At 46.0% G+C, this 25,400-nt stretch overlaps 1 protein-coding gene across 55 annotated transcripts in view; it reads right to left on the bottom strand.

Annotated features, from left to right (window-relative positions):
• CACNA1C (calcium voltage-gated channel subunit alpha1 C) overlaps positions 1 to 25,400 on the bottom strand; it is a 727,171-nt gene that overhangs the window by 448,975 nt on the left and 252,796 nt on the right. The window lies entirely within an intron of this gene.

The raw sequence follows: 25,400 nt of genomic DNA, 5'->3' as shown, positions 1-25,400 counted from the left end.
GGGCCTATTTTACGCCAGGCACGGTGCCAGGTGCTTCCCAGATGCAACCTTCATAGCAGCTCTGTGAGAACAGGACTATCGTGATGCTCATTGTACAGAGGGAGAAACAGAGGCTGAGGGTTACCATAACTTGCTCAAGGTCCCAGAGTCAGCAAGTATTAGAGCCATAATAGAACCTAAGTCCGTCACCGCCAAGGTTGGCATTGCCCCTCCACACCGTGAGGCCCTCTTGCCAGGAGGCAACATCCGCTCCTGTCTTTCGGTTACTTCTTTCCAGAGTAAAGGTAGACACTGTTCTCTTCGAGAGTTTATACCACTGCGGCTTTGAACACGGGAGCGTGATGCACTGCCTTGGGGATGATCACCCCCAGGAAGACAGGAAGGCTCACTTCTCTGCCCCAGTTGCAGCCATCGCCTCTCCAGCACCGACTCCTGTCTGTCCTGCACACCACTCAACACAGAGCATCTGCCAGTTTCTACAGCACTGCAGGCAGAACACTCACTTGCAGGCTGCTAACTAAAAATACTGGAAAATGGAGCCCAGTGAGGCGGCCTCGGTTCCTTCACAATGGAAAGGGATGATCCCGTGGGTCCTTGGCCCGGTGCAGAGAAATGTTCCCTGGAAGGACAGCACGGAGATTCCCAGCATCCAACTCTGGTTCCTGGACTCATCTCCTCCTCCCCTTAACTGGTCAGGAGCTGAGCATGAAAGAGACACTGCTCACTGGTTATATTTATAGAGCAGAGTCCAGCAGCCAGGAAGTGGACATTATGGGAATGTACAGTGTAAACACAGCATAGGAGAGGAGATTCTTAATTACTTTGCAATGGACATTTGAGCCAAACCTTCCTAGGTTAGCTAAGTTGTGTGTGGTGTTACTGTTTCTCCAATGAACACACACACACATATATACATAGAACTTAATTTTAAGTTAAAAAAAGTTTGAGTGGAAAAAGATGCCCACGATTCAGCTCAATTTTAGAAATAACTAATTATATTTGAGAATGGGAGAGAAGAGTTCTTTCTGGCTTACAAAGGTTCTCAGCCACCTGTCCCCCCTCTGCAGTGGCCACAGCACCTTTTCTCCTTTCCATGTACTGTTTCTTGCTTTGTTCCTAAAATTCAAGTTGTCTTCCCCTCCCTTGGAGAATAAAGAGAAAGGAGCAGGTGAGAACGAGACTAAGTGGAGGTGACAGAGAATGAAAAGAGGAAGCACAAAGAGGCTCGGCAAGAATCCAGAATTTTAGAAGGAAAAAGAACAAGTGATTAAAGACCTAGAAGGTTTCAGCAAAAGTTTCCTTTTGTCCCTTTGCAAAATCTTGCCATCGTCCATAGGGAACTGAGGAGGGACCAGGAAGTCTAGATTTCGCCGTGGCTGCCCACCAGGAAGGTCAGGAAGCCTGAAACTCAGCCATGGGGACAAAGTGCCCACCAGGCGGATGAAGTCTGCAGTCACATTGCCGTGTTAAACTGGGACACTCCATCACAAAATGGCATGGTCGATTTCTCCCAGCCTAGAAAGCTGTGAGGAATTTCCCCACGAAGGTTATATCTCATTTTGTCACATGCAAATTTAGCTAATTAAAACCCACCCGGAAAAGGAGTTCAAGGACAAGAGAGCATCAGACTTATAGGAAAAACAGACCCTGCGGCATTGACAGGGCAGAGAGGGTGCAGGAAATCAAAGAGTGACCTCACAGGAAAAGGCGAGGGTGCTCCCAACTTCCATGCAATGCACTGTGACCATATAGAGAGAGCAAGGTTATAACAGGCCATCCCCGCTGCCCAAAGAAAATGTCCTGCCTATTTTTAAGACAAGAATAAAGGATAATCAGGGTGAAAACTGGAAAAAAATTCCAGAATGAATTGAAGGAAGCTACAGATTTGCAGGAGTCAAAGGGAAGAAGGAAGGAAGCTGATTTAGCCTTTCTTACTTTATAGTCTTAGCTTAAGTTTTTCAAAATTTTAATTCTACCTATCGGGGAGTTATTGCAGGCATGTGTAGGCATGTGTGTGCATGGGGGAAGAACGGCCTGGAAGGGGATGGAGAAGTGGGGAGACAGGGATGCAGCCGCTATGCATGAAGCGTCAGCCCAGGGAACTGGCCTCCTTGAAGACAGGAGATTACAGTTCTTGGATGGGTCATGACATCACCCCTCACCCCCAACCTTGGCCAATGTGCCAGCAGGTTTCTCCATGCCCAGGCAGCGGTGTGGACCAGGAGAAAAGCTTCCTTGCTGGGACCTATAAAAGAACAGGTTAGGACAGAGCGTAGCAGTTAAGAGCACACACACACCATGCTGGCTGGGTTCTCACCACAGCCCCCACACTCGCGACTCACGGGACCTGACGACCTACCCTCGGTGTGCCTCAGTTTTCTCATCTATACAAAGGGGACAACAACGGTATGAATTGCACAGAGTCGTCATGGGTCCAGCAGTTACAGGAGTGCCTATTACACAGGAAGCACTGTGTAAGTGTTAGCTGCTATTACTCAGAAACACGTTTCAGGCAGGGAGGCATGGCTCAGTGGGATAAGGAAAGCCTGAGATTCAGGATCCTGTTCACTCCGGGAGCCACCATCTAAAAGGCCTTACTACAGCCTCCTATTCAGCAGATTACTTTCCTGCTCAGAATTCAGCCTCGGCCCCCGATCTACAGAATTGGGTCCACTCTCATCTGCTGGGCAGCAAGGTCTCCAGCATCTGCATCCCCTGCCCAGCTCTGCCGAGCCTGCCCCACTGCAGTTGTCCTGCCACAGCACTGACTGTGGGCACTGTTCACCTTAACTGTCCCCACGCCATGCCCTGTGCTGTTTGCTGCCGGCACCATCTTCTCTTGCTCTGTTTGCTTGCCCTTCCTCCTGCCACCCTAACGGCAGGTGCTTTGTGGTGACTCTGAACAGGGGGCCTGGTTCTATGTCCATCCCACCATGGGTGTACCACGCACAAAGTTAGGGTACTGAGGTTTCACTCCAACTAAGCAACAACATGCAGGTAGTGCTCACTGTGTGCAGGGCCTTCTAGAGCTCCACGGTCCCTTATTGGAAACCCTTGGGGCCAAATGCATTTCAGAATTCAGAATGTGTCAGGTAAAGTCATTTGCATATCTACTGTATGTAATAGCACAGCAGGGTGAAGGGCCCCAGAAGCCAACGTATTTCTGCAGTAAATCATATGAATATTCACTCTAAGCAGGTTAAATAAGACTGCAACTACCCTTGTGTCAGTTTAGGACAACTCTGCCCCAGATGAATTCAGGAAAGGCCAGATTTTGCTGTCAAAGGGATAATAAATGAACTTTCACTTTTCAGAGACTTGGGGATTTCAGAATTACAGAGAAATGGCTATGGATCTGTACTAGGTGTTCTGGGGTCATAAAGATAAATATTTTTACACAAAGGAAATAGTATAACTGCTGCCTTTGGGAGGAACAAGGAAAGGAGCCCAAGCATGGGCACATTCTAGACCACCCGCTCTGAGCCTCAGTTGCCTGGTCTGTGAAATGGGATGACACTCTCCCGGCAAGGAGAGGTTTATTATAAAGCACCTGAAACACACTGCTCAGAGATCTCATGTGTGTTTGCTTCTCCCCTTTACTGTTCAGTCAATGAAAATTTAAACCCGGGTGGCTAAGCAAGCATGCATGTGCTGAAGGGTTCTCAATGGAGAATGGAGCTGAGAATGGCTCAGCTAAGAAGCTTCCTGGAGGGAGGACTCAGCAAATCCTTATGCTTCCATTTTGCTGTCTTCAACTAGGAGGAACAGAATGCCATTAATTGAACCACCTTCTTAAAGTATGCAAATCCCAAAGAATAATACAATTCCCTTTGCTCTCACGATCAGCGCGGCCCCTCCACATGGCCATGCTGTTTCTGTCTTGCCTGCTCCTCTTTTGCACTTTCCTAGACACTTTCTTTTTGAAAGACATCAAGCACACAAGTACGTTCAGGCAATCAGTTCAGCAGCAGAATTGCATTTACAGCCCCAGAGAAAAACCCTGTGGGAATGTCAGGGTGAGCAGACAAGAAGGCCTTGGCTTCGATGGGTCTGGGTTTACAGTTTACTCTGTTTGTTTTTTGTTGATAAAAGTAAAGTCTTCCCCTGCCCAGTATCCATTGTGAAGCATTCCCTTTTACATAAATGAACCTAATCCCCCTGTTTATTAACATTAAACTTGATATTTACAGCCCAAGTGCTTTATCAGCATTAACCAATAATCCTCAGTGAATTCTTGCAGGGGGAGTCCACGTGAGGCACTGAACTGCTCAACAAGAGCCTTGGCACAGCCCAAAGCAGGTGATGGCTCTGCTCTAGGAAGGAGGAGGTGCTTATAGGACTGACCTGTGGCTTCACCCCTCATGCCCTACACGGCAGACTTCTGCATTCCCTTCTCTCTAAACACAGAGGGAAGTGTGTGCAGCCTGAAAGGTAGTGGGCACAACATGGTTAACAGGGGAATCCTGAACTACTGCTGGGACCTGGGGGGCAGTTTCCGGAGGAGATGACTGTATTTAGTGTTTTGCATAGGTAATGATGGAAGGATGAGGTCTGTGTTCACCTGGCACCTTCCCTTAGGACCTTCCCTGCCTAGTGATAAATACAGGCTCAGGCCCTGAGTGCTTCTGTTCAAAAGCGGAGCTGCAGCCATGAGTCAACACCGCATTCCTGGGCTAGTGGTAATGAGCACAGCAGGCAGCTGACGTCCCACAACGCATGCTAGGGGAGCCGAAGGCCCCTTCACAATGAAATTAATGAAGGCTGTAGCTGAAAGACTCTTGGAGCAAGTGGCTAACTACAGACTCAGGAGGGCAAAGGCCCTGAAACAGATAGATGAATCTGAGCCAAGAGCAGCAGGGGATGGCCCCACAGAGTGGGCAGGATGCTTAAGGGAGCTCTCCAGAGATGCTTCTCTCTGGTAACAGTTCACCCAGGTCCTCAGTGGAGAGAAACTGGAATTCCACATCATAACTCAGTTCTATATCCATAGTTGTACATAGTTGGCCTGAAGTTTAATTGAAAACAGCACCATTTCCCTTATGTGCACCTAGTCATTCTCCAGTTGTCTTTATTATCTTAATAAAACCTCAAGTTAAAAGGCTCCTACCAGTACTGTTATAAAGGAATATTTGTATTGACTGAACCTCATCTGACAATTGCAGCGAGGAATTCAGTGCCCAGCATTGGCAAAACCAGATAAACAGTGCCCTTGTGAGTACTGCTCTAACAAAGCAATTTATAACTGGACTACACATTGCACTTGAGCACCTGGCCTGTTCCAGGGACAGACTCATGAGGTAGCTACTATTATCCCATTATATAGGTAAAGAAACTAAGGCTCAACAGAGTTAAGTTGCCCCACAGCCAGGGATTAGTCAAACCCAGATCTGACTCCAAAATGCCATTTCCACTATGTCATTTCATACCTTCTCATCATCCCCCCATGTGGTCTTCTTGGATGGTGATCGCACTGATGGCAGCAGTCACACGTGCTATCATGCATGTTTGATCAGTGGCTACCAGCAGACCATGAGCTGAGGGTTTAGGACTATGAGCCACCAGGCCCCTGACTAACCTCAGGCACAGCCCAGCTTTGGTTTCAAGTTATGGTTCTCTCTCAGGTGGCATCTCCACTTTCCTATGATTCAATTCATCAGCAATTACTTACCAAATGATTCTATGGGCCTCTCTGCACTAGACTTCATCCCTGCTTCCAGGTACTCACACACAACCTGGTTAGAGAGGTAAGATCATGACATATCAAATCGTCAGAGCTCAATTACCATGGTGTATGGATGAGTGCCACACTATGAGGAAATGGAGGGCATACACTTATTAGTAATAACCCATATAAGTAAGCTCCTTACTCCTTCTTATGCACCCACATAGCACTTAACAGCTTACAAAGACAGATCTCATTCTATCCAAAAGTTCAAACAAAACACCAAACCACACAGCAGATAAAAGACCCAAATGACACAGCCAGCTCTACCAATTATAAACCCTATGATCGTGGGTAAGTCACTTCACCTCTCAGACCCTCAGTTCTTTCCTCTTAAATTAAGAATAACCACACTTGCCCCTGCTAACCACACAGGGTTCTTTTGAGGATCAAATGAAATCACGCATATGAAAGCACTTTGAAACTACAAGCCACACAGCTGTACCATGGTAGATTATTGGACAAGCCAAATATTATTGCTCTCATTTACAAACAAGGAAACTGAGGCTGGAAGCAGACCCGGGACCAGGGCCCAAGTCTTTAGGTTCTTTGGCCAGAGGTCTGTCCTCTCCATGACGATGCTTCACTAACTAGGAGCAGGTAGGAAGTAAAGAATCCGGTTGGGCCTCAATAATCTAGGAAGACTCCCTGAAGTAGAGGCCAACAGGCCACTGACATAGTTGATTAAGAATAAATTTTTTTGAGTCATCATTTAAGAAACAGTAGGTTTCATACAAAATCCAAATTTTTGCCTTGAAAAGTCAGAAGAGCTCATAACAGCGGGCACAGACTTCCTCAGTGATGACCGTCTGCTGTGGCCGCCACCTTTAGGAAACACCTGTCATTTCAGTTCATCACAGTTACCCTGGTCCCCCATTGTTCCTCCAGCACGGAGGCCAAGTGTCAGTAGCTAGTTTTCATTATCCTTGCATTGCTGTCTCTGTGTAGCAATGGAAGTGAGTATGTTTCTGCGGGAAAGTGAAGACTCCTCCTGCACCTGTGTACCTTTCTTGCTTATTTCAGCAAGATTTAAGTTTGCATTGTCTGACCTGAAGGACAAAGAGACTCCCAGGAGATAGGGTGGCAGGAATGTAGCAAGAGCAAAGTATGGCTGGGAAAACTGAGCGTGGAGGTGGGAGGCCAGGTCGGAGGATGCGGCCTGACTGGGAGGAGGGGCTATGCAGAGGGCACAAGGACAATGGAGGACTGGGAAGACTTTACAGCTAAGAAATGAGGCTGCAAGATGGAGCAGGGAGCTTGAATGATGATGGCGATGGCAGGGACAAGGGCACCATGCATGGTAGTGCCAGCCCAGGGAGCAGGAGAAATGGAAATTCTGATGGGCAAGAACCAGGAGAAACGCCTTGCGAACTCATTCATTCAAAAATTTACTGCGGACCCACTGCGTGCCAGGCACACTGAGTTCTCTGGGAATACAGCAGGGGATCAAACATAACAAAAAATCTCCACTTTATGGCAGATGCAGCCACATTGGGAGGGATCTTTCCACAAAATTCCCCCATGAATGATTAAGGATAGCTGCTTCTGAGCCACGGAGGACAATAGGCAGAGCTGACTGTGACAGGGAGAGGGGATAGTCAAGGCGTGAGGTTAAAAATGCCCCACCTGCCAGTGCTCAGCTGGTGAAGGCACAAAGCAGCTGGAACTACCTGCCCCATCTGTCTTCGGAAGACCCAGAGGAACTTGAGCATGAGAATACACATAGCTGGTCCTGCCACTCCCCCACCTGCTTGGCCAGGCTGCACACGTTTTGCAATTGATCCCATCCCACACGCGTGCTCTCCTCTGCTTGCCACACTCTGGGACAAGGGGGGAGGCATAAAAAACATGGCATGATAAAAAGATCTGGAATTGGGATGACTTGAACTCCAGCTCTTTCACGTGACCTTGGGCAAATTACAGGATCCTTGGCTTCTGGTTTCTCATCTTTAAAAATGGGGACAATATGATTTGCCTCAGAGAATTTCTCTAAGGCTGCCATGACATCATCTATGTGACAATACACAGCCAGGCCAGCGCGGGGACATAGCGGGGCTGCAGTCAATGCTGGTCTTCTCCATGCGTGGGAGGATGGAGGCTTCTTGAACCACTCGCAAGTCAGAAATAAAGCTGCCAGGAGCCTCGCAAGGAAATGCTTGCCCTCTTCCCACCCCCCTCACCTCGTACTGGTTATGTAAACCTTGGCTCACTCTGGCATTATTTGAGAAACATGTGAAATCCCCTCTGTGGTAACTCCATTTGGGTTAATACTTCCATCCCCAGTAAATTCCTGTTAAGATGCAAGCATAATCCCTGGCGAGATCCCACCCTGGCAGAAGCACCCACTGAGACGGTGTAGAGAGGGGACTCTCACCCTGGAAATTCAGGCCCTGAGGGAGTTGGGTGAGCACTGCTGAGGGGAGCTCTGGGCTGCCAGAGGTCAGGGGGTGGGGGAGAGGGCAAGGAAAATGGCCAAAAGAGAGGTGGAAGAGGAGGCCACGCGTGCCCACCTAACCATGTGCTAATGACCAAGCATGGGTGGAGAAGGCACCTTGTCCCTTCAGTCAATACCCATTAGCATCCGCCATGCAGCAAGGTCACCAATATCAGGCACTCTGGGGGATGGTGTGCCCAACGCTGACGCTGGCCTCCCAGATCTTATGAAATGTCTCACCCCTCCAGGAGTCCTTCCAGCCAGCTTGTGGCTCAGGCCGCTGTCACCATAACCCTCAGTGCAGGCCCTGCCCCATGCCTGGAGCCCTATCAGTGGCTTTTGTTGGATTCTACCTGCCTCAGTAAAGGTGCAGATGTGTCTTCACACATCACAGACCCCAACAGAAGATTGCTAAAATGCAATCCAAATCCCTTTTTAACCTCTCTACTTTTTAGGACTGTTCAATATCACTGATTTCAAGGACCATGGTACGTCTTTGTTTTTCTAAATAGGGGGAAATGTCTGCAACCAGCATCCACCTTTAACTCCAGCAAGAAGGGGAGCAAGGGAGGGGAAACTGCATGTCAGCTGAGCAGGAAACAATCGAGGTTTCTCTGCTTCTCTGAAGACTACAGATCAAGCCAAGCAAAGAGCGACCATCCTGAGCTATTTGTGTTTCATGTAATAATGCCCTAATGATCCAATTAGCATTGATTCTTCAGCAGCAACAATATTTTCTGACTGATCCAGCAATTTAGCGATCACTGTTGATTGATACAATTTCTATGAGTAATAAAGCAGTTTGAAAGAAATTTGTTTAAGTCTTCACAAATCACTTTTTAAAAACATTTCAATTTTAACCTTATTTCCATTTTCCATTTTTTCCCAACCAGTGGACCCTTTATGACATTTCCCTTGGGCATCCCACTCCCCTGGCCATCACGTGGGCCAGCCCTCCCTGCCCCTTGTCTGGGCATCCTCAGCCTTCACCGCCCCCCGCAGATGCTCGCTGGCTGCAGCCCGGGGAACAGATGGGCGCAATGGCTGAGCCTTAGGGAATGGTAGCCGGGCACACAGCCTCTGTGGAAATGGCCCAGGAGAGAGCCACTGGAGCAGGCTTCCTGAAAACCTGCCCTGGTAACACCGCTAAAATTGGAAACCAGGCAGGGGTGGGGGACAGCGTGGGAGGCGAGTGGGAGGGAAGAGGGACAGTCACAAACAGGGAAGGGAGCTAGAACAGACTGTCGGGATAGAATCTCCTACCCGGGAAGCGCCGGGCTTCCCAGGAAAAGAGCTGAGACCCAGCAGCTGGGTGGAGAGAGCAGCCCTGGGAATGAACGGCCCTTTTGACGTCAGGGACTGGGCAGAGGGCCGCGAGGTCTGTGCAGCTGACCCTTCCTCCAGCAGTGCCCCAGCTGTGTCTCCCACCAAGAGCCTTACGAGATGAAGCCTGTGTGTGTGGAAGGAAAGCCTCACCGCCTGGGAGAGCTGGTATTGGCCCAGCCCTCACCGTCATTCAGGTGACTGACACGGTACCCGATGACCAGTGGGCCCTGATGGAGGGGACCAAACCGGAGTGCTCTGGAGGCAACTTCTCCCAAACAGTTCTCTGGCTGTTTTGGTACCCACTCTAACGCTGACCTCCTGATTATCTTCACGGCTCCTCCCTTTTGCCCTGCCCACGGACGCTTTCCCAGTCAGGTTATTGTAGTAAAACTAGGAGTAAAAATAGCTGCTAAAATTTCACGAGCTACCATGTGACAGGCATGACGCTAGCTAAATGGTTCATATGTGTTATGTCATGTAATCCTCTTAACCACCTTCTGAAACAAGTGTTATTCCCACTTTACAGGTAAGGAAACTAAGGCTTAGGGTGGTTTAGCCACTCAGTCAAAGACATTTAATAAGCCAAGGAGTGAAGCCAGTCAAAATGAAAATCCCTGGCCTCCAAAACCAGGGTTAGGCATTACAGAACCTCTCTGGATCATGAGTCCCCAAATTTCAGCCTTAACCAGGCAGATTTTCTCCTGACTTTACTTCCTCCTCTCGGCTTCCTGCAAGTTCAGCCCTCATCCTCTGCTTCTCAGAGAAAATACCTAGATGGGGAACACCTTTCCAGGACACTCTCCTTGGACAAAGAACCACATCATCCAGGTTCCCTCTGCTCCCAGAGAATGGCTAGTCCTCTTCTCAGAGGGCACTTGGTAGGTCAGTTCCAAAGCCTATTTCTTTGAGGCCTGTCAGAGCTACCTGACCATTCTCATTCACAAGAAAGTCAGACTGACAGACTCATCCCATTTCTCTGTAAGATTCAACATGATTTTGGTGGAGTTCCTATAGCAGTTCCCCAATTCCCAAACCTTTTACTGTTCACCACTATCTCAAGGAATGTGAGAAACTTCCGAGTCTGCAGCTCAGAAATCACATTGAAGGCAAGGGTGAGGAGACAGTTTTTGGCCACACTTCAGTTCTTTCTATATTAAGTGAAAGCTTATCTTTGTCTATATATGGTCCAGCACCGTTATTTCCGTGGGAAGGTCATGCCAAAGTCACCTAGTTACCTCGTCACTCCATCACAGGAGATACATCCCAGTTTATACACATATCATGCCTACTAACTATATTGGTTACTCAGGGGAACAAAAAATGCTTCTTCTGCATAATAGTTTTCCAGGCTCCTGTGTAGAAGCCTTGCTCCCAAACCTGATTCTGTCTGTTTTGACGACGAAGGCTAGAACAAAGAGTCTCTGCCACCCGTGGGATTGTTTGGCTTTTAAACAAACCTCCTTAAAGAACATACAGATAGGAACAGCAATCAAAACTGCATTTATTAATGTTAGGTCTTCAATACTAAAACCTATCATTGTCGCCTTGATACCACTGGAAATGTTTTGGGTACGTAAATAAAGGTGGAGCTAGGGAGGGCAGAGGGAGCAGCACAGGTCTTCATTTGGACTGACGGCACATTTGTTAATTAATGTTCTATCGAAGGATGCTCTTTCCTGAAGTTTTGCTTAGCAGTAAAAACAGTGCTGTTGGCTAATGCTGGTTTTTTGAAGCTTGGATATAAAAATGAAGAACAAGGCTAGTGAGATTAAAGCCACCATCTGCCCAGTTCTTCCCAGGAAATGTCTTTTTAAGGCAACATCATAGGGAGCAGAAAGGCCCATCCTTCCTTCCAACTGGTTATGTCTCAAAACAGGCCAACCATTGACCACTAGGAATTGAGTGCTTAGGGTCTTCCCAGAGACTCAATACAACACTCTGAAGCATCTCCAAATCTGAAAGCTGCCTGTCAAGACATCACGTGGCCAGGCTACTGCATCTTAGTTCATTACTTCCTTTCTGTCAAACAACAGGAACAGAAATCAGCATTTATATTCCATTGGGTCATTTTGGTTTATTTTCTCTCAGCTCCACAAAACATTAGGTCCTGTCACAGGCCTCAGTGGAGAGATACAGAATGCATCTTCGCTGATGTCATCCAAATGAGATGGACAAAGTGAACCCACACTATCATACCCTAGGCAATGGAGGCTGCTGTGTGCAGAGGCAGAAAGAGAAGAGATAACAGGTTGCTTTTTGCTTGAACGTATATTTTTAAAATTGACCCAGAAAATCATACTTTCACTGGTTTCACACATTGGAATTAAGATTTCCCCCCAAGGGCACCATGTGATAAGGTCTGGTCTTCCCCAGCCCATCCACTACTGGACTTGGCATATGCCCCACACGACAAGCAAGCAGATACACCAAAATACAGACACATTAACACAGCAAGACTCAGATGTGCTTATCTACCAAAACTCAAACCAGAAGAACAAGAGTATCACAAGGCATTGTAGTAATCTCATGGTGGTGGAAGTTTAGGACCAGAAACCCCTGGAGGCTAACTGCAGGACTGGAGGGAGGGGAGGAGATTTTGAGTGTCTGGAGTCTTCAGAGTAAACAGAAGCCCCTCACTGTAGGGAGGAAGATACCACAGCCTAGTGTGGGCCCGGCACCACTCCCCTCCATTTCTCAGGAGAACTTGGTTCACTTCAACTATCGCCTCTGCTCAGGTTGCTGGGCACACTCAAGAATCAAAGGATGCAGTTGCCATGGTGATTCTGCTTTTGTGATGGATTCAACCTTGTGTCTGATCCCTTGCACACTGCTGGGGTGTGGCTGGGAGAACTGCATATAATGGTAACTGAGAAAAGTTAGGACTAAAGTAGCCTAGAAGTGCCAAGTTAAACCCAGCAACAAAGGAAAGACCCTTGGCAAAGATACGAAAAAGGGGGACATAACCTTTCCATTTTCCATTAGAGTCCTAGGAAACTTAGTTTTTAAACAAAAAATTGATTACTAACTGCTACTATAGTTGATCACTCATTAAAAATTCTTACTGGTATTATTCTATTGCTGAAAGAGCTCCCTATCCAAATGCAGTTAACTCCAATCTGACAGTGAAATTAGTACACAGGCATGATAGTAGTCTACTACAGCACTGCTGCTCAATGTGTGGACCAGCAATCAGTCACACTGACATTACCTGGGAGCTTGCTGGACCTGAGATTCTCAGGCCCCAACCCGAACCTGCTGAATCAGGATGTGCATTTTACCAGGATCCCCAGATGGCTCTTGGGCACATTCAAACCTGAAAGGTACTGTCCTGAGAGACACTGTGAGGTCTCCGGCTCTGAAAACACTTCGGGCTGAGATGGAATGGAACTTATGTAATTGATAGCAAGACTTTGATAGAGCCAAGTGGACTCTGAAGCCAAACTGCCTGGTCCAGCTCCAGAAGCAAATGTCCATAAGCAAAATTATTAACCTTTCAATGATTCAGTATTCTCATTTATAAAACAGGGACAATGGTAATGCCTATCTGTGATGTCCTGTGAACGTCAAATGAATTCATTTATGTAAAGCACTTAGACTAGGTAAGGCATGTAGTAAGCACTGTACACAGTGGGCAGGCAGATGGGAGGATGGATGCAAAGTGGAAGTGAAAAATGGAACCTGGGAGTCATTCCACAGCTCTGGTGCACCGGACTGCTCCTACCTGCCTGCCAGAGACAGCTTCTTTGTTAGTCATTCAGACCTTTGTCCTGGCCATCACATCAGACACGGCCCTGCTTTGCAACTGATTCCCAAGGGGGCCACAAATACAACCTGAAGCGTAATACACTGCACCCCATCCCATCCCTGGGTAAACCGGCATCACCCAGAGATGGTCTACGTAGAGAAGCACTGCAAGGCAGCATGTGGGAGAGATGGACCCCTAGTGATGGCAAGATCTCCTCATCTACCAGAAATAATAAAAATGCTGCAAAATAAGCCAGCAATTTAAAAATATCTAACCCATGATTTTCTGGGTGAAAAAAAATTAGCCTTGGGTTGCTCCAGCCCTTGGCATCCTCGTCCTGCCACATCAGGGTTGGTGCAGTGCCCAGCAGCTGAGCTGGGTGCAGAGGGGAGAAAATCTGTGTTGGACCCCGGCTGAATGGCTTTCCTGACTTGGTAGCTCCAGATGTTAGCTTGTCATTGCAGAGCAACTGAGTTAATTAGGCATTTCTGTGGAATCAGAATTCTGAACAGTAGAGAAGAAATGGAAAGGGAGGAAGAATGGCCCCCCTGTACCACAGACAGTGTTTACTCTCCAGGTATTCCCCCGGGAGCAGGCCGAAGGGGCTGGGAGAACACTGGCCCTCAGAGAGCCACGTATAGAGACACTGGAAATGGAAGAGCGGATGTGCAGAAGAGCAAGGAATAATGCTGCCTGAATCCTTCCCTTGAAGAGAGTTTGCTTGGCACCATCCCACAAAGGCTATGTGTTCATAGCAGGCGGATATCCAGAAGCCACCTTTGTGAGAACCTCACCCATGGAAAGGGTGTCAGAGCTTCCATGACAACTATCAGTCATGCCTTCTTCCCAGAATCGCTCGTCACTTCTATTGTTTTGTCTGAACCAAAGCTCCTGGGAGGGATCTTCCCCTCCCTCTCCTCCACCTCTTGCCAATCTATACTGCCTGTTACTTTTAATTGAAATAGTTAAGCTATGTAGGTCAGCTAATTTAAAATTCTCAAGGGCAGATCACTGCATTACAAGCAGGATGGGACATACGAGGCTGTTCTCTAAACCGGATTTCATATATTAAAATACACACACACACACAGAAAATTTTTGTGAAAAACACCAACATAAAAATGGAGGGAGGCACTAAAGACTCATTTCCACAATCTGGCCCCTGGCCCTACACCAGGCTCAAAGCTGGGGCGAACGCTCCAGGCTGTTGAGGAGCCTGCATACAGGAGCCCATCTCTGGCAGTATCTTCGGCACACCTGACGAACAGATGCTCAGGTGCCTAGACCCTACATTACTTTTCAAGGCACATGCAGGTGACCCATGGTGCCCTCACATTTTTGACCACAGAGTGCCTGGCAATCAACTCACCACAGCTTGAGTGTTCCCTTCCTCTCAAGAACAGGCAATCGGTCAGCCATTGTGTGCATATTTTGCATGCTGAGAACACATATTTGTTCAGAACACAAAAGACATAATTTAACACATGCCAGAAAGGAACCAATAGAAACAGAGAACCAGCCTCAGCATGAGTTTTCAGCACTCCCATCTTTTCCAAAAGAAAAGGAGACACGGGACACTTCCAGCTAACTGACTCGTTTGAAAAGGCTGCATCGTCCAGCAGAACACTCCTTGCTGGAGACACCTTTCTGGGCCGTGAAAGTGATTCTTATTCCATTTATGCTCAAAAAGTTAAAGGAAATGCTAATAAACAGCCAAAGGGAGAAGTGTTGGAATAATGCCAGATTGTATTAAATCAAGTGGGAAGGGTGGACCTGGGAGTAAGGATCATGCCCATCCAAATGACCTTAACTGACCTCACTTTCGACCCCCTTGAAGCTGAACCCAGATCCAACTTGACTTGTAGGTGGAGGAAAGTCAAGCAAGAGAATCTTTGCTGAAGGGATCCTTTTGGGGTCTGAGAGTGGTTTGAAGAGGAGGATGCCTCCCCTATACCCCAACCCCATAGGAGAGGGAAGCACTGACCAGAGAGTATTGGTTAGAGGGAGCAGCTAAGACTTCAGAGGTCTTATCAAGTCAAAGTATATATCTTCAGCCTCCTTGCATCTGAAGAAGTCAACCATCTATGTATCAGAAACAAGGCATGGGCAAAGGTTTTTAATGGCCCCAGGAGCTACTGGGACAGGGAATGGTATCTTCATATTCCAACAACCTCTGAATCTAAAATCAAAATTTAAAATTCCCTAGGCTGAACTTACATGATTTTAGAATGCTGAACAATCTGAGATGAGTTCTGATAATATACAGAACCAAGAAAAGGAGTAATGTCTCCTAGACGCCATCAAAGAAACTATAGTATAAACTTGTTAAAGGCAGAATTTTACTCACTAATGTAAACCCAGTGCCTATCACAAGGCCCAACACACAGTGTACATGCAAGACATATTGACTTAATGAATGAGTGAAAGGATAACACTGATTCATAACTTTAATTCAATAGAATTTGAAATTACCCCCAGATGAGTCACATGGACACGGTGACACAACAGAACTTAAAGATCACTGAGACTCAAAGTGGGAGAGTCACGAACTGGTCCTGATATGATGAGATAGGAAGCTAGCACCAAAATGTGAATCAACACACTACTTCCTTCATCAGGAGAGTCTCCATATAAACACAAGCTGATAGGAATGAGCACACCTAGTGCCCAGGTCTTGGTTTTCACATACTACCACTCTCCAATAAAACGAATCAGTACTCCTTGGAGTAACAGTTGATTCTAGGGCTGAGGGGGAAATAAAAGATGTGCCTGGAATATCTTGTGGTCCCAAAGCAAGAAAACACTTGAGAAAGGTTGGGGGTATGTCAAGAGGCACAGAAGCCAACCAGAAAGCGCTCCCAATGGCCAAAGCTAAAACAATTTGAGCAAGAAAATAAATTAACAGTAGTAGTGGATTATTACTCATAGAATAAAATAAATAAACATGATACTGGTATAAATTAATGACTAAATAAATAAATAACTGGGGAAGAAGGGACAGTTTTTCCTTAATGGGAGAAGTCTAGTTAATAAATATGGAGGCAAAAAGGACAATAGAAAAATCATAATTAGCCAAACATAATAACTGTTGTAAACAAGATGTACCAGGGAATGCTAAAACTATGGGCAAAAGCTTGACAAAAAGCATGATATTTGCATAGTCTCAAAATATCTCCCCCAGGATACTTATTAGAAGTGGGGAAATAGCAGCTTTATAGTGAAGAAACTCAAAAGACACCACCTTCACCAAGTGATGAAGGTTAACAGCACCAGTAGAAAGACATCAACATCCTTTACCCTTTGATAGGACACATTGTGAAGGGAACATCACTTCTGTGATATTCAGAAGTATGCATTTAGTATGCAACAAATGCATACCCTCCATCTAATCATGAGTAAACATCAGACAAACCCAGATTAAGAGACATTCTACATGATAACTGACCCGGATTCTTCAAAAGTGTCAAAGTCATTAAAAACAAACAAACAAACAAACAAAAAAAAAAAAAAAAAAAAAAAAACAAGGAAAGACTGAGAACTACCACCACTTGGATGAGACAAAGGAGACACGATGACTAAATGTCATGTGGGATCTTGGATTGGATCTGCACCAGAAAAAAAGGACTGAAGTGGAGAAACTCGTAAGATCAAAATGAAGTCTGAAGTTTGTTAAAAGTATTATACCCATGTCAGTTTCTCAGTTTTAATCACTATATTATGGTCATGCAAGATATTAACATTAGAGGAAGTTCCCAAAGGGTTTATGGGAACTCTACACTATTCTTCTACTTTAAGCCTAAAATTATTTCAAAATAAAATGTAAAAAAAAATAAAAAGACAAACTAAGCAGTGTGTTTATAGACACAGCTGATTTACATTCTGTCACAAGCTCCTGATCTTGCCAAAAACTGGTAAGTGATAACCTGCCTACCGGTCAAAGGATCACATTCTAGATAGTGCTAGTGCACAGTCTAGCACTGTGCAAGACTGTTAGCAGCTTGCAGGAGTCAAAACACCCTGTTGTTCATGCCTAGCGAACAATTAGGTCCTGTGTTCAAGCTGTGTATCCAACAGGTGTGTACCGGGCGCTGCTTGCAAAATAGGAAGACCAGGAGATGATGGTTCTGATCTCCGCTCTGATTTTAAAAACAAAATCAGAAACAGAAACAAAACCCATTTGTGATCTTGGATAGCTCATTTGTTGTCTCTGCCTTCAGTTTTCTCATTTTCTTATAATTAAGTAATGCGTGCCTCCCACTCTCAAAAGGGTTAGCAGGAAGACGAAACAAGATAAACTGTGCGGAAGCATTTTGAAAACCATAAAAACATTATGCAGCTGTAACTGTGTTATGATTCACATATTTAAAGGTTCTCATTCTCATTGTTTTCAGAACGGAATGGCTTAAGTGAGAGCTGGTTACCACATGCATCCATTTAACGTTAGAAATGATTTAGTATTTACTGAGCACCTATTATGTTAAAAGCACTGGCTTAGATACTATGGTGAATATAAAAATGGATTGCACATGGACTCTGGCCTCATGAGTCTCCAGCCTTAGGAAGAGGGATGACATATACATCAATAAATTATAACATAAAATAAGAAGTGAAAATTGCCAGTCACCAGCTGCCTGGCAGGTGCTCACATGGATATGGGAAGAAAGGGGCTTAAGCCGGTTTTTATTTTCCCTTTCTGACCTTTGTGCGTATCTGTATATGTTATTTCCAAAAACTCCCTCCCAATAGTCCGCGTGGCAAATAAGAAATTAAGAGATTGACAAAGTCAGAAGCATGCGTTTGGATAATGTCCCAACACCTGTTAGCAAGGGTCTTTGGGCCAAGTCCTTCTTTGGTTTCCTCCTCTGCAAAATCGGGATAATAATACGACCCACCTCACCAGATCATTCTTTAAGATTAAAGGAGTTAGTACAAACCAAGCACTCAGAACAGGACCTTGTGCAAAATAAGCACCGGAGAAGGGTTAGCTGCTGTTACTCTTTTCTTGTCTTGGAGAAATGTATTTATGGCTTTGTGACTGACAGTGGAATAAAGTCCCGCACAACCCAAGATGGAAGATTCTAGCCTCTTTTCTCCAGAAGGCCCAGGCCTCCCACCGTTAGTGATCAGGCGCGGGAAGAGCCCGGTCAGCAGGGCGGGGACGGCCAGCTACTGAGGCCGTCGAGGGTCACGATGGGTGCTGTGTAACCTCAGCCAGCATTCCCTTCTGTTCTCCTCTTAGCCTTTTGGACACTCAGGTTCTACCCTCAGCTTTTAAGTTCTCAGTCTCTTCCTGAGGGGTCGCACTGAGAGTTCCTCGCCGGCAGAGGGCTGACTGTGCTTCCAGGCTCGGCCCCGCCTCCCCTTCCGGGACCGCCATTGCTCCTCACAAGGCACCTTGCGCGCCACCAAGGCGAGAGGCCCCGCTTGCCCTCAGCAGGCCCTGGCGGCTCAGCCGCAGCCCGGCGCCGTCCCCACGTACACCCATGGCGCCCTTCCCGACCTCTGACCGCGAGCTAGACGCGCCAGGCCCGCCCCCCGGGCTGCGGAGCTCGGCAGCAGCCCCTCACTGCCTGCCCGCGGCTCCAGGTCGCAGCCCCGGGAGGGGACATCCTGAGCACAGTCAGCGAGGGCCGCGCCACCACGAGAACCACACCTCTCCAGGCCCCTTCTTCCCCTTCCGCCTCTAACCTGAGGGAATCGCTGCCGGAGCTTAAGGCAGTTCTCAGAGCTACTGCGGAGCCAGGCGGGCGCGCACACAGGACAGACCCCTCGTCACCTCCCATACAGCAGCCATGCTCACCTGGGATAGCCCGCGTCAGACCACGCCACACCCGCTCAAAATCTGCAATGGCTCTGGCCTCCTTCCGGGCAAAAGCTGCCGTGCTCACCGTGGCCTGCAACGCCCTGCTCCGCCCGCCTCGGGACCCCTCACCTGCAACCAGCGCCCACCCTGCTCATGCCGCTCCCTCGCCCTTGAGCCTGCCAGGCCGTTCGTCTGTCAGTGTCTGTAACTGCAATTCCCTCTGCCTGGAATGCGTTCCTCTCGAATGTCAGTCTACCCTGCTGACCCCCTCATTCCCATAGATGGTGCTCAGGCATCCCCTGCGGAGGCCTTCCCTCATCGTCTTATTTAAAAGTAAACCTCCACTCACACCCCATTCCCCTGCTTTACCTTTCTCCACAGCCCCTACTGCCACCCAACAAAGTGTGTTTAACTTATTTTATTCATTGTCTCTCTACTAGATTGTAAGCTCCCCGTGGGCAGGGATTCAGGCCTGTTTTATTTATTGCTAACTCCCTGACACCTAGAACAGATACACGATAAATATTTGATGAATGAAGGACGGACTTTTAAAACCCATACACACATATACAAACGCATATGTATATATTCCTAGGTGTGCATATCAAGGCTGCCACTGAGGGAGCACCAGCAATTAATACATCCCAGGCCCTGGAAGAGGCCTGTATCAAGCCTGCACTCTGAGTGTCTAATTAATTCTTTCAATGAGGCCGAGGTAAAAATGGACTACCCACATTATAAAACTGAAACTAAAGCTTGGAGTTTAAGGAACTTGCCCAAGTGAGCCAGCAAGGAAAAGACAAAGCTCAACGTGCTCTTCAGAACTCCAAATCCTGTGCTCTTTCCACCAATCAACCGTTCTCTTGGTTCTCACACCCCTAAGAACTTGCCCCGCTAATAGTAATGGGCCCATACATCTGCTGTCTTCACTACCAAACTGAGCTCTCTTGAGGCTACAGGAGCGTCTCCTCCTCTCTGTTTTTCCAGGAGATATGCACACACACACACATAATATTCTAGCTCCTGGAAAATACTCCATCTCAATCACTCACTGTTAGAGATGTTAATTTTCTTTCTACCTGACTTGACAGACCATCAAGCACATACTCCTCTTTCCCTGGCACCTGGGGCATATCTGATTCAAGGCAGAAGACAGAAAAAGTCACAGATGGGAAAAGTGGGGCACTGTTCATGCCAGGTAGCCAGAGTCACCCCTGGCCCTGGAACCATGCTGGCACAGTGCCAGAGATGAAATGATGGAATGAGTGTACCTGGAGAAAAGGAGCTGAATATTCACTCAGAAAGGCTCAAAATCTGTACTGGGTTTTCCTCCTCTCCATCCCCCCTTTTCTACAAACTCTATAAGCTACCCCTACCTCTTTAGCACATACCTTGTCAACCAGATTCTTAGGAGAACGAAAACTCAGGCTTAACTCCTATGCTGTTTTGTCATTGCCACTAGGTAAGGCAGAGTTGCCAACTCAGGCTTGGAGAGAAGCAGAAGGACAGAGAGATTCAGATCAGGACATTTGGAGCCAGACAGATCTGAGTTTAAGACCTGGGCAAGTAAGTTAATTCCTAAGCCTGGGTTTGTGTAAGATAAAGAAGTACCTACTTTATGGAGTAATCATATTAATTAAAAGAGTATACACGTGTCAAGTGCTTAACAGGGCCTAATACACAGTATGCACTCAATAAATGTTGGTTGAAAAGCCCACTTTGAATATTACATGATAGGGAGTTCCCTGTGTAAGGTGTGGGAAAACATCTCGGGGCCAAACACAGGGGCGGGGTTGCACAAGCCAACTGAACTCTGACACAAGAATGCAACCCTAAGTGTCATTTGCACTCTATTCACATGTGTCCCAGAAGCCCAGAAACTCTTCTTCCTGCTGCCCCTTTATCCAGATGGCAGCCCACCACCTAAGGACATCTTGCAGACGCTCCAGCACAAGGCACCTGGGAAGAGACTGCATCAAGAATCACCAGGTCAGGGCAGTTGTTTGCCATTTGAGTTCAGGGAATTTAAAGTCAGGTGTTTAAAAATAATTACCATATGTCCATCAAGTCAAAGTTGTAAGTTGTAAGATGTGCCCATTATTTTATGTATCAATGAGAAAGAAAAAATGGTGCCAACTAAAGTGTAACCTATTAGTTTAGATTGCACTTTAGTTTTAGAGAAATGAAAATGTAGGGGAAAACATGTCTTAGGATCAGTAGAATCAGTAAAATATAGTAGGTCAAACCAAAAACTAATTGACACCTGGGGTGTATTGTCAAGTAGGAGTGATAACTGATGGGAGAATGACCTTTGGCTTCTGCCTAGTTCTTAGCAAGTCATCCAATGACCTTGAACAGATAAAGAGGCTTTGTGAGTTCTTCAGGAGAGAAACAGAAAAACGGAACTGACATATAATGATTCACCACAGGCTGAGCACATCCAGGTACTTTATGTGATATCATTTAATCCTTCTAACAGGACAATAGCATTGTCTTCATTTGGCAGACTCTGAAAGGTTAGGTAACTTGCCAAAAGTCAGTCAAAGGTGGTATAGAGATTCAAACTCAAGTCCCTCTGATCACAGAGTCACTATGACTCTGAATCAACAGAATGAAGTGTCTGTCTGGGAAACTCCTGTGACTGGATAAATTCCCGAATCAGCACTCAAAGCTTGAAATGCTCATGTTCTTGGGGAAAATTGACACTGAAGTGCAAGAACCATTTTTCCAGAAAGTTGGTCCTGGTTAGAGGAAGGCGAGGAGCTGGAAGGAGATCCTGGACTAAAGTCAGGAGGGGATGATTTCAGAGAGGAGGGGAATAGCTAAAAAGGGGAGGGCAGGGAACAGAGAAAGCATGCAGCAATCCCCCCATCACCCAGCAGTTGTGGAGGGAGTTCTTGGTGAGGACTGCCTCCCCACACAGGCCATGGCATCAGCAGTAACGGCAGCAATATCTGCAAGTGGGCTAAGGACAGGCATATTTGAAAACCTTAGGCCAGTTTAGCATCTTCCACCTGGACCGGGATTCAGATGCATCCCTTTCAGATTTATTGCCTGCCCAGCGCATTCATTAGAAAAGAATTTGCACTGTGATGGGCTATTTTTCAAGAGCCCTTCTCCTGCCGAAAGAATACTTGAAACTCGTGCTGAAAACCAACAGGCAGAGAGCTCGAGAACTGGAGGGAGATGGGAGTCAAACTCGGTGTATTTTGTAGCTGTTTAAGACCCAAGTGCAGTGAAGGACAAGTTCCTGGCTTGCTAGCTTCCACTGTGAGTCTCCGTGGAGGAAACAATGACACTATGTAATTATTAAGAGCAGCAAGCCAGGTCTTAAGCATGCTGTGCACTATGGTGACACAAAATAGTAATTTAAAAACATGAGATATGGAGAGGAAAACTAGGTATCTAGATGGGGCTTGAAATCTTTGTATGCAAAATTTGTGATAGGTGGTATTTAAATACATTGGCTTTAGACTGCTGACCATCTTCCAGAGAGAAAGTCAGGGTATTACAGTGAATATCTAAATCTGGTCTCTGCCAGATTCACACTGGTTGTGTGACCTTGGCCAAGTTATTTAACCTCTGAGTCTTGGTTTCCTTTTATGTACAATGGGGATGATTAATCTTAGTCTCACCTACCTTGACAGCTAGTCTTTTTATGTCAAATGAGATCAAATCAGTGAAAGGATGCTGTAAACTATAAGAGAAACACAAATAATAGCTAATTTAATTAATTTCCTGACAGGTTTTACTACCCCTGTATGAAGAAAACTGTGTGTGTGTGTGTGTGTGTGTGTGTGTGTGTGTGTGTGTGTGTGTGCGCGTCCCCATATCCAAGCGGCATACCTTGGGAGTTCAGCTTTTCTAAGAAGTCACAGGAAATAATTTAGTTAGTAATCTCGGTCTCATCACCTTCCTCTCCTAGCATTGGGGAAGCAAATGGTACTCTTCTCCCTAGAGCTTTCCTTTCAAAGTGTGTAACTGATGGGGAAGTCAGATGTATACAGACTTGTAGAATTTTCTCAAGATGATTCAGACAGCTCAGTGATTACATTTGTATGGCGTCCTCACTCTCTGGGGCCTCATCCATGTGGTTTCCATCCAGCTTGGTTTGGATCTCATCCTCATGATGGTTCATAATTCAATGAAGGCCCATAATGCAATGACCACAATATTCACAAGAGGAATGATGGTTGCCTACCACTCTACAGCATCCTCTCTAAAGCATAGACCTTTCCCCTTAACAGGGTCTTAAGCCTTAATGTCTGAGTATTAGTTGACTTTGGAGGGAGAAGAGACAGTGACAGAAACCCAAATACCAGAATCCCAAGTAAAACTCTCCAGAACACTTTCCCTCCCCACTCCGCCCACTAGGATCTTCTTCTTGCTCAGGTTCCAGGGGGCAGTATCGCAATTTCATTTACATAAAACCAGGTTCTTGCATGACTTGGCTCCAGAAAGTTGAGAAATTTCTGATAATTTTATCTATGTATTTTTGATAACTATTTCTGTGTATTCTTGATAACTGATTTCTTTGCGTATTGGTGCTTGTTAATTATTTATGCTACTGTTATTTGTGTAGCTTAAAAGATAACATTTGAATTATTGCTCTCTTTAGTTGCCTAGTTTCTGCCTTTTTAAGAAGATATTAGAATATAACCTAGCAGACAAGGCAGGGATCTAGTCTTTATAATTCTCTTTGTGCAATGCTACATAAGTGCTGAATAAATGCTTTTTAATGATGCAGCAGCTGACAGCGTTCCACACATTATCTTCTTCATATTGAAGATATCCTGGCAAAGTGAGCAATGTCTCACAGATGGAAAAACAAAAAGCAGAGAGGTGAAGTGACTTGCATGAGATCAGAAAGCAAACCAGAAATGGAGCCTTGACAAGCCTTCACACTCTTAAGTTTAGAGTGCGAACGTTTATTCATCCATTCTGAAAAGCCACAACCTTAAATGTCTGAGTTCTGCGGTCCTGCAAAAATTTGGGTGTGACAAAAATCACTTTATAAATTGTGCTAGAAGAAAAACAGCCCTAACAGTTGGCTAAGGTACATAACCGTCTCTTTCAACCCAACATCAGAAAACCATTTTGCAAGCAAATACGACATTATCATCCCCTCCAGACAATGATGGCAATAGCACAGTAGTACTTACATGAGGCCTCCCACCTCTGGGACCCACGGTGCTTCATGATGTAATTATCTCCAACACTGACCTGTTTACTTATACGAAGAATGCTAAGTTGCCTTTTCTTCATCAGGAAATTGATGGCAAAGTAAGCTACTCCCCAAAATCCCAAAGTGAGCCAAAACAACAGCCTGACCTCCAAAGTCATCTTATAACACACAACTCTGGACCCACCACCCCATTCTTCCCTTACTACTAACATGCAATGCAGCTGACCACCCTGGCTATCACCACAAGGGGTGGAGCAGAACAGGGGCTGGGAATGTGGGAGCTCATGTACAAGGGAGTCTGGGAAGGTCATGCATTCATGACCTTAAATCATGTTTCAACCTTAAATCTAGAAGAATGCTGGATAACCAGGATCAGAGGCTCCGCCAGGGGGATTAGCAGTTCAAAAGAGAGCTCTAGAATGAAGATACAGATGTGTGACTCGTTTGCATATCGGAGACGGTGGAGAGGAGACCAGAAATCATACTTTCTCTTGTAGGCCTCTTGTGGCAAGTCAGGTTTATCAGAATAAAAACTTCATTTCCCAGCTCCCAGTTGTTGATATCATTAAGAAGTGGAATTACAAAGCAGAAACAAACCAGGGCACCTAGGGTCTACTGCAGGAACCAATCAGCAGGCAGGAGGTTCAGGGTGGGAACCAAGCCTCACCATCTCTACCTGTCAGAGTGTTTACAGGTCTTTAAGACCCATCTCAAATGATACATCCAACTTTTATTTTCCTGATTTCTCCAGAGGTATTCTCTCCCGTCTTTAAACTCCGATGGGATTTTGTGTGTGCACCTTTTATGAGATGCATCATAATCTGATTGGGGTTATGGATATCTATAAATAAACTAGAATATATTTGTGTATTATCATTTACTCAATAATTATTTATTGAGCTCTTGCTATGCACTTCAAACTCTTAAATAATAATACATATAAGTTTCTTGAGGGATGGAACCATGATTTATTCATTTTCTACGATGTATAACATTTTCATTCTAATGTACGTAGGGTACAATTGAATTCAAATCCAATAGCACTGGCAAAACAACTCTATAAGAGGAAGGATAATGGAGGACTTCAGAGCAGGAGTCTTAGAGTCAGAGAGATCCGATTCAAACTCTAGATTAATACCTCTGTAGCTTTATGGCCTTAAGCAAGCAGCTTAGCTTATCAGCAGG

Source organism: Homo sapiens, chromosome 12, assembly GCF_000001405.40.
Source record: "Homo sapiens chromosome 12, GRCh38.p14 Primary Assembly".
NCBI lineage: Eukaryota > Metazoa > Chordata > Mammalia > Primates > Hominidae > Homo > Homo sapiens.
This window is presented reverse-complemented; position numbering and strand designations above follow the sequence as displayed.